This window comes from Homo sapiens, chromosome 6, assembly GCF_000001405.40.
Source record: "Homo sapiens chromosome 6, GRCh38.p14 Primary Assembly".
Taxonomy (NCBI): Eukaryota; Metazoa; Chordata; class Mammalia; order Primates; family Hominidae; genus Homo; species Homo sapiens.
This window is the reverse complement of record NC_000006.12, coordinates 110,324,427-110,333,461: the sequence shown is the minus strand read 5'-3', so window position 1 is coordinate 110,333,461 and position 9,035 is coordinate 110,324,427. Positions and strand designations below refer to the sequence as shown.

General features: G+C 43.9%; 1 protein-coding gene across 3 annotated transcripts in view, besides 1 other annotated feature; it reads left to right on the top strand.

Moving 5' to 3' along the window:
- The window catches only part of METTL24 (methyltransferase like 24), a 114,410-nt gene that overhangs the window by 24,888 nt on the left and 80,487 nt on the right, over positions 1-9,035 (top strand). The window contains exon 1 of one of the 3 annotated variants that reach the window (NM_001354595.2): positions 3,404-3,489. The exons of the other annotated variants lie outside the window; for them this stretch is intronic. The gene's annotated coding sequence lies outside the window, so the exon portion shown is untranslated. Of the gene's footprint in view, positions 1-3,403; positions 3,490-9,035 lie in introns of those variants that run through there. 3 annotated transcript variants of the gene reach the window in all.
- Positions 2,862-3,362: an enhancer, noted in NCBI's record as "H3K4me1 hESC enhancer chr6:110651303-110651803 (GRCh37/hg19 assembly coordinates)". NCBI's record gives its function as "activates a minimal SCP1, AML or CMV promoter by ChIP-STARR-seq in naive H9 embryonic stem cells {active_cell/tissue: H9 hESC(naive)}" and the evidence as "EXISTENCE:reporter gene assay evidence [ECO:0000049][PMID:30033119]".

Genomic DNA, 9,035 nt, shown 5'->3' with positions numbered 1-9,035 from the left:
AATAATATAATAAAATAAAAATCAAGTGAAAAATATGCCAATAAAATACAAATCTCAAATAAAAACACGGTTTACAAATATCGACAGACAAAATTTCAAGGCAGGAAGCATTAACTGGAGCAAACTGGTGGCTTTTATGTCCTCCCCACCCTCTGCCAACCCCCATTTCCCTTTGGTTTTAATAGCAACTCAGGATCCCAAGCATCTTTGAAATGGGTTTATAGGGGTGCAGCAGACCTTCCTCCTGAATACACTGACGTCTCAGGGCTGGTAAATGTTTGGGGGAAGGGTAACTGACTGAAGTAAGTCGATGAACATAGCAGATTGGTGTTGATTCAGATGATGTTAAACTTTTAGGATTCTGAGTTTCAGAAAGTCCAGGTAACCTTACGTATTTTGAATAGGGTGTGTATACATGTGGAGGCAGGGTGTGTGAGAGAGACAGACAGAGACAAGAAGAGGCAGAGAGAGAGAGATAATCCTTACAAATATGGTTAGTGTTTTTCTAAATTCCCTTTGCTTTCTTAGGCACACTTGCTTTTTTTTTTTTTTCGATAAATGTTGTCCTTCTGTTGCCCAGGCTAGAGTGCAGTGTTGCAACCATAGCTCACTGTAACCTTGAATTCCTGGGCTCAAGCGATCCTCCTACCTCAGCCTCCCAAGCAGCTGGGACTACAGGAGTGTACCACCACACTTGGCTAATTTTGTAACTTTTCATAGAGATGAGGGTCTTGCTTTGTTGCCCAGGCTGGTCTTGAACTCCTAGCCTTAGGTGATCCTCCCACCTCAGCCTCCCAAAACTCTAGGATTACAGGCCTGAACCACCGTGCCTGGCCGAAACATTCTTATATAAACTTACTTTCATAAGAAAACTGAAACTCGTCCCTCCTTTCCAGGTTGATGTGCTACCTCAATGAAACCCATAATTTGACATCTGAAACTTTACTACGTATGCAGACACTGTGTAGTTTCCACCTCATGAAAACAAGTGAAAATCTCGGCTTTCACTGGATCCACTCTAGGTATATGGCTTCTGTTTTTACTGCCCATGATAAAAATCTAAAATATATTACGTTTTATTCTCTTAGCCATCCCCTGGTGTGTTTCAGTCTTGCTCACATTTGAACCATTTTGACCTACACAGAAAATGTGGTGAATTTAAAGATGTCAATTTAAGAACAAACTCCAACTCAAATTTGTTTAGCCACTCTTTCCAACTTATCAAAATAACTTAGAGGATAAATCCAGAGTTGAGTGTTTATTCCTTCTTGTCTTATATTTTTTATTCCTTCCTAAAAGTTATCAGGACCTGCTTGAATTATAATGCATTTTTTCTTGTCAGAGCTGATTTGATTTCTGGCTCCCCTGCCTCCCAGCCTACCCTCTGTGTCATGCTGCAGAGGCGGCAGATTGGCGCTCTGGATTTGAATTTCAGCATGCCTGCTGTCTGCTGCCAGAGACATTTAGCAGATGGGCTTGCAGAGAGAGAGAGCTGGGTCTTGACAGGGAGGGGGCCTGAGGGGAAGAGGCTCCTATGGGACGGGCTGGCTCTGCCCGTTCTCACCTTGTTGTTTTGACCCTGGCCCACTACTGGGTCTGTCACAAGATTAGCAGAGGCTCAGTTTTTTATTGTTGTTGTCTTTAATATCCAGCACTTTGCTTATGACACATAAAGGTGTGGAATTCTTCGAGTTTTCCTCTGAGGGGTTTGCAAAGCTTCTTGAATCTTTAGGCTATATTTTCCATCATATTTGGGGGGTCTTTCAGTCATTCTTTCTTCCTTTTTTTTTTTTTTTTTTTTTGAGGCAGGGTCTCACTTTGTCAGACAGGCTGGAGTGCAGTGGCACAGCATGACTCACTGCAGCCTTGACCTCCCAGTCTCAAGCAATCCTCTCACCTCAGCCACCAGAGTAGCTGGGATTACAGCTGGGATTTACTACCATGCCTAGCTAATTTTTATATTTTTGTAGAGACAGGGTCTCGCCATGTTGCCCAGGCTGGCCTTGAACTCCTGAGCTGAAGTGATCTGCCCGCCTCAGCCTCCCAAAGGGCTGGGACTGCAGGTGTGTGCCATCGTGCCTGGCCTCATTATTTCTTTAATTTTTTTTTTTCCTGCACTGCATTCTTTCTTCCCCTCCTCTGGAATATCAGTGACATGAATGCTAGACCACTTGGTATTGCTGCACAGGTCCCCAAGGCTCTTTCCCCCCTGCCCACAATAATTTTTCTCTCTGTTTTTCACATTGGATACTTTCTATTGATCTGTCTTCAAGTTCACTGGCTCTTTCTTGTGTCAAATTCTTTCTGCTATTGAATTCATCCCCTGAGATTTTATTTCAGTTATTGTATTTTCTGTTCTGGAATTTCCATTTGGCTCCCTATGCTTCCTATTTCTTTGCTGAGACTTTCTATCTTGCCCTTGGTTTCAAGCATGTCCACCTTTACTTCATGGATTATTTTGTAAATGTTGCTCTTAAGTCTTTGCCAAAAATTTCAACATCTGTATCAGGCCTACATTGGCATCTGCTGATTGTCTTTTTCCCACATAAGTTGGGATTTTCCTGATTCTTCATATGCTTAGTAGTTTGGGACTGTATCCTGAAAATTTGAATATTATAAGGCCGAGTTTTGTTTAAATACTGTGGATAATGTCGATATATTTGTTTTAACAGGCAGTTATCCTGGTTGGGTCCAGGCCTCAAGTTCCCACCAGCCTCCTGTGGGTTGTAATTTCCATGTCAGCTCTGTTTTCAAAGGCTTGGTAGGGGTTTCACCTCTGTCCCATGTGTATCCCATGTATGCCCAGGCCAGTCTGGGGCTTGGGCAGAGGTCTGTCTGTCTGTTAGCTCCAGAGGTCCATCTATTAGCTCAGTTCTCAGTCTTTGCTGTGCCAGGCAGGATCAGATCCACACATGCACAGTTCTAGAGTGAGCCCAGGTGCTTTACAAATCCGTTAATGGGGCTGCCTTCCCAAGCTACTCCTTCTCCCCAGTTTCCCCAGTATTATCCAGTTCCCTACGGTTTTTGAATCTATGACCAGAAAGTTTGGGCTTTTACCCCTGCTTTGCCTACGCTCTGCTTCACACTTCCTGTGACTGTGCCTGAGTCCAAGGCCAAGCTGCGGGAAGAGAGAGACAGACATAGTCAATGAGGATTCACCCCACTCTCTGGGGTCCACTGCCTCAGAGAGGAGAGGAAACTTCCGTTTTCGCAGAGTTCTAGGTGCCTTCAGGCCCCCACTGTGGCTTCTACCATCTTAGTGGGATTACTTGCAAGAACGGAGAAAGGAAAAAAAAGGAGGAAAAGTGAGGATTTCCTCTACTATCCCTGAGCATCGGGAGACGCCCCGCCTCCTGGAGCCTGAACTGCGGGGCTGCTCCTGGTGCTTCCTGGCTGCGCCAGTGCCCACCACCGGTGCCAGGCAGCCTAGAGTAGGGCGGGCAGGACACCAGAAGGAAAAGCAATGGTGACCTGGCTTCTAGTTTCGAGGTACTTTGAATTCTGGTCTTCTTCTCCAATCTGCCTGCTACTGTTTACTTTTCAGATTCCTCAAATAACCGCTCTGTGCATTCTGTCCAGGTTTTACTGCTGCATTCCGTGGGAGGCGCGGGGTGGGAGTGTGCTTACCCAGAACGGAAACTGAGATCCTTTGTTTTTAAATGAAATTTTTGCATGGGTTACCTGAATTTTAAACATCACTGCACAATGTATAACTGATTCTTGCTCTTTCTGAAGCAGGGCCGGGTCTGAGAAACAGGCCAATTACAGGAGAAGGCTGAGGGGAAGGCACGTGAAACTGCACCCGGCACTCCCCTCGCAGCCTTCAGAAGCGCTGGGCACACACTGAGGGCGTTACAGAAACGTAACGGCAGTGCTCACAGCCTCAGCCAGGGCTAGAGTCATGTTCTGTCCAGATACCATTTTGTGCCTCTCCCTCCCCCAACTACTCCCACCCCCACCCCCTCTAAAAAGGAATAAACAGTTTCCTTCAGTCATTGTTTCCTGCCCACTAACAGATGCTCTTAATTAGCACAAAATTGCAGCAAAATTGCTAAATAAATCTATTTTACTTGTTTTGGATTTGTTTCTCCCAGAAAGCTTAGGCTTCTCCATCGTCAACACATCAACACACACTCACTTTATTGCTGAGTTGGAGTCGAGGACTCACAACCTAGTTCCTTGTTCATTTCCACGCACACAACTGTGATGCACAGAATTGATGGTTAGCCATCTTTCCCAGCAGAAAACTGCTGGTTTTAAAACCCTTCAGGAGCTCACTGGGGTGGGAACATGCATTTGGGAGTATTGAGACTTTATAAAAAATATCCCAAACACTCTATCAGTTATCTATTGTGATAAAGAAACTGATCATTTACATTAGTCATCATATAATTTCATCCTCCAAAGGACTGTAGCCTTGAAACACAGAGGAATGGGGCATTAGAAGCATCCTTTTGGTTTATTTTATACAAAAAATGTAGAAACATGCTTGTCAAGCTGATGGTGGCACCATTTTTTGGTAATTTCTTCATGGGCTGCCTAAGGTCATTCATGGGTGTGAGGATATGGTCTGTGAAGGAGGAAGCTGTTATTCCAAATTTTACAACAAAGAAAGCTTTTGCATAACACAGAATCGATAGCTCTCTTTTCTAGGTCATGAGTGGGCCTGCTTTTTTTCCTGTAAATTTTTTAAATGCTACATGGTCTTGAATTAATATATTTCTATTATGTACATGAGTGTAAGCTGGTAGGCAAAGGAGTATTTTAAAATATTCCCTTTTTTTGGCATTATCTTTTAGGAGTAAAATCTTGGAATTCAGCTTCATGGCTTGAGAGAATCACTTTCTTTTTTTCAAGAAACAAAACTTTATGCTGAGATCACAAATGACAAAAATATCCCAAAGCCTCATGGCTGTGCTTGTTGCAGTCTTTTTGAGTCAAATCCATTATCTCCATGCACTGAATGACTCAGTGATCACTTTTTACCCTTCGGGAAGTAGAATCTCAGATATCTGCAAAATAGCCACTAAATAACATGAACTAGTTGCGTATGGAATCTTCTGCTGTCCTTAATCTGAATTTTTGGAATTTTTCTCTAGTAATGAAAACATTTGCCTCTCATTAGAAGAAGCCTGCTCACTTTTCAATGCACATTGTCTGGACAAGGTGCCAGATAAGGCCTTTGCAAAACTGAAAGGAGGCTGCTTCCTTACATTGGAAATCAGGACCACGCCTGCCCTGAGAAATGCTTGTCTGAGGTGGGGCAGGCCCCTCTGTATGAATGCCCTGGTGGTTTAGAAATAGAGGGGGTCCCCACTCCTGCAGGAGCTCAGGAACAAAGCTGCTTCTCTGTGGCAACTCATTGTAATACCTCATTTGACATTTCAGCTCAGGCCTCCTGGGGACAGACAAACAGACCAATCCAAAATGATGTTATTTCCAGCCACCTCTGCTTAAGCTGCTGCTTTACCTGTCTGAAGAGGAAGTACAGGTGGCAGGCAGGATTGGGAATCCACGTTCCCACCTCCTGGGAGCAATAGGGGTGGCGTTGTTATGGCCACTTGATATTTGAAACACGTGGATGATAGGCATTTAATGTACCCTGGCATTTAGGGAATTGTTTGGAGTAAAATCACAATGATTAAAAAGAGGTTTTAAAAAGGGAAAGATGATTTTTGTCCTTTTCTATTTAACCTGCCATTGACGTTTTAAGGTGCTCAGAGAATTCTCTTTGTGGGAATTTGGGAAGGACAAATGTTGATGTATACACTAGAGAATTAAGACAAATGATAATTGAAAGAGATGATAAAAGCTAGCGGTTTCCATGGGGAAATAATCACAAACTGCTGTCAGACTGATTCCAATAAGAACATTGCTTTATGTGAAATGTTTTTTAAACAGCTCAACCAAAGCATTAAGCCAGAGCACTTCTGAGGGCATCTATTTGCGGTGTTTCTATTATATCCCCATCTGAGACTCCTCAACTTAACATTATTCACTGTTCCAGCTGCTGTGCTTAGCTTCTTTGTGGTCAACACTCAGTTGGAAATGAAAAATATTAGGTTGCAAGAAGAATACTATTTGTGGACCCTTAAGATCATTCTATAGTTTCACCATATTGATTTACCATATGGATTCTAAATTATTGATCTGTGAAGTTACTTTTGTATGTTAGCTCAGGTTAAATGCTGCTACTGTGTTTAAGATGTCTTTAATAATGCTGGAAAGACCTTTGATGTGCTTTTGGGCTTCTAGTAGTGGAGACTGCTTCCCATGCTCTGCCTTTGTATTTTCAGTCATTTATTTTGGAGTAATACTCAGGCGCTGTACCTTTTTGTGCCCCCAGTGTACCCTGTAGAGATCTCTGTCAGAGCCCCTATAACCGTTATGGCATTTATTGGTTTACACAGCTGTGGCCTATATTAAATTGTGACACAGAGCCTGGCATGTGGCACAAATGCCCACTGAATGAATGAATGACTCCTTGGTCAAGTCTCACTGCCTCTTTCCAAAGAATGCTGGAACAAGAAGCCTTCCATTTGCCCCTGCTGGCCCAACCTCCACCCTGCTCCACCCCGGGAGGCTGACCTGCAGGGACCAAGCACAGCCTCAGTCTTCCCTGCTTTCCCTTTGAGTTTGGCCAACAGGAGGCAGGAGATTGGTGGGTGGGGCAGACAGGGTGGAGTATGTAATAGGATTGGCTGTATTCCTGTACTACAGACTTCTCCATATAGTTCCCTTTAGACTTGTAAGGGCTCTCCGGTGTTACCAGACACAGGTATTGCATTATTTATTCTTTATTGGTTTCCTTAAGCCCTGCCCACACCTTTGTAAATAGACTTTTTGTTAAATTCTCTCAAATTAGCCAGTTTGAATGAGCCCACTGGATCCTGCTGGGTCCCTGACTGATTGCCCAAGTCACCCAGTTAACAACATTGGTTATAATCTAGGTGTAATACCTTTCCTCACTCACCATAAGCATACGGCCAACACTCTTAACAAAAGACAGGTGAACAAGAGAAAAGCATAACACATTTATTTAATCAAAGTTTTACATGACATGGAAGCCTTCAGAAATGAAGACCTAGAGATGCAGGGAAAATGATCTATTTTAATGCTTAGGTTCCATGAAGATGGACAGCTACGTGGAAGTGTGATTGGACAAAAGGGTCTGATGTAATGGTAATAGACTGAGCGGGGAACCCCAGCAAGGCCTGTCTGTTCAGCTTCCTCTTGGTCTCTCTGTGTAGTGTTTCTTCCTCCTGGGTATGGGGCAAGATCCCTCTGGAACAAAGGTATTTGGGGAGAAGGGAGAGAGTGACCTTTGTAGATTTTATGGCTTGCTTTGGGAAGAGGGTCTCCAGTTTCTCTCACCTGCCTTGCGGAAGAGGAATTCTGGTTTCTAGAACTCACTTTGGGGAAGAAAGAGGAGTGAGAGACAGGAGGGCCACAGAAGGTCAGAGAGAACTCGCCTTTGAGGCCCATCCAGTGTCTTTTTGAGACAGTCAAGTATAAAGGGGACCCCAGAGAAACTCTGACCAGCCTGTGCACTGGGAGGAATGCACAACGGGCCAGAGCCCCTGGGAAGTTTGCACCATTTGCAGTGGGGAGGAGCCTGGCCTCTCCTCTTCTGGGGTGGAAACTGGGATTCAATCTGTGAGGCAGGAAGCCAGCTAGCAGAACTTTTGCTTTGCTGAGAGTCCCTGTTTCTCTTTTTTCCTTTTTGCCCAGTAAATTCCATTTTTCTCACCCTTCAAAGTGTCTGTGAGCCCAGTCTCTCATGGTCATCTGACAAAGACCCCATTTTACCTGAACTAAGGAGAAAGTCCTACAACACTTTAAAGTTCATACCATGCCAAAGCACAAGACTTTGGGAAATCATATTCTGAGCCCCAACAACATCATAGTCTGTCTCCCTTGCATTATTTCAGTCAACCCCCCCTTTTAGGCCAGCCTACCTCTGAATTAGGATCAGCTGGAGCAGGAGTCAGCAAACTACAGCTTGCAGGCCCAATCCAGCCTGCTGCCTGTTTGTGTAAATGGAGCTTTATTGGAAGACAGCCATAACCATTTGTTTACTTACTGTCTATGGCTGCTTTTGAGCTACAACAGGAGGCAAAGAGTTGCAACAGAAACTGTGTGGCCTGCAAAGTCTAAAACATTGGCTATTTGACCCATTATAGAAAAGATTTTCCAACTCCTGATTTTGAGGAAAACCATAACATGTGAACTTCATCATTTTCATCCAGGGACTCCTGGGCCAGATGCTCGGGGCCCTTGTGAGTGGTCCATGACAGTGAAGTGGGAGGTTTTAAACCCCGGGCCTAGCTGAGTGCTCCTGGGACATCATATTGCTGTGCTGGCTGCTGCAGCAACCTGGGAAGCACTCACTCTGTCAATGTGACCAAGCAGGACTGGAGGCATTTGTGTTTAAATGTGTTGATAATTTATGATTTCAGAATCGAATAATTTCCTAAAGAGAACAACTCTCCTGAATATTTTAGCATTTTACTATCGAAGTTATTTTGTACATATCTGTCTCCCCCACCTGACCATGAGTGCCTCTTGGGAGAGCCTGGGTTTTAGTCATATCTCTATTTACCAGTGCCTGGCACAGAGTGGCTAAGGCTCAATAAATATTGTTTGACCAAATGGTAATCAACATCGAATTCAGAGAAGGAAAAAAGAAATGAGGGTGTGGGAGGCATTAACTGGAAAGATGTATGACTTAATGTTCTCCAGCTCTCTTACTAGAGTCTCTGCCTGCTCAGCCTGCACAGAACAAGAAGAGCTACAAGAAAAGGCTGTTCTTTCAGAAGGTGTCCCTCAGGGAAGACTGGCTACATGATTCGTGGGCCCAGTATAAAATGAAATGCAGGGCCTTTTGTTCAAAAATTTTTAAGAATTTTGACTGACTCTAGGCACACTGCCTGTGAGTTAGCCCTGCTCTGCAAGGAGCAGTAATAAAAAAAATAATAAAATTACTAAGAATTTCGAGACAGCATCAGCAGAGCATTAAACTGAGCATGGCCTCC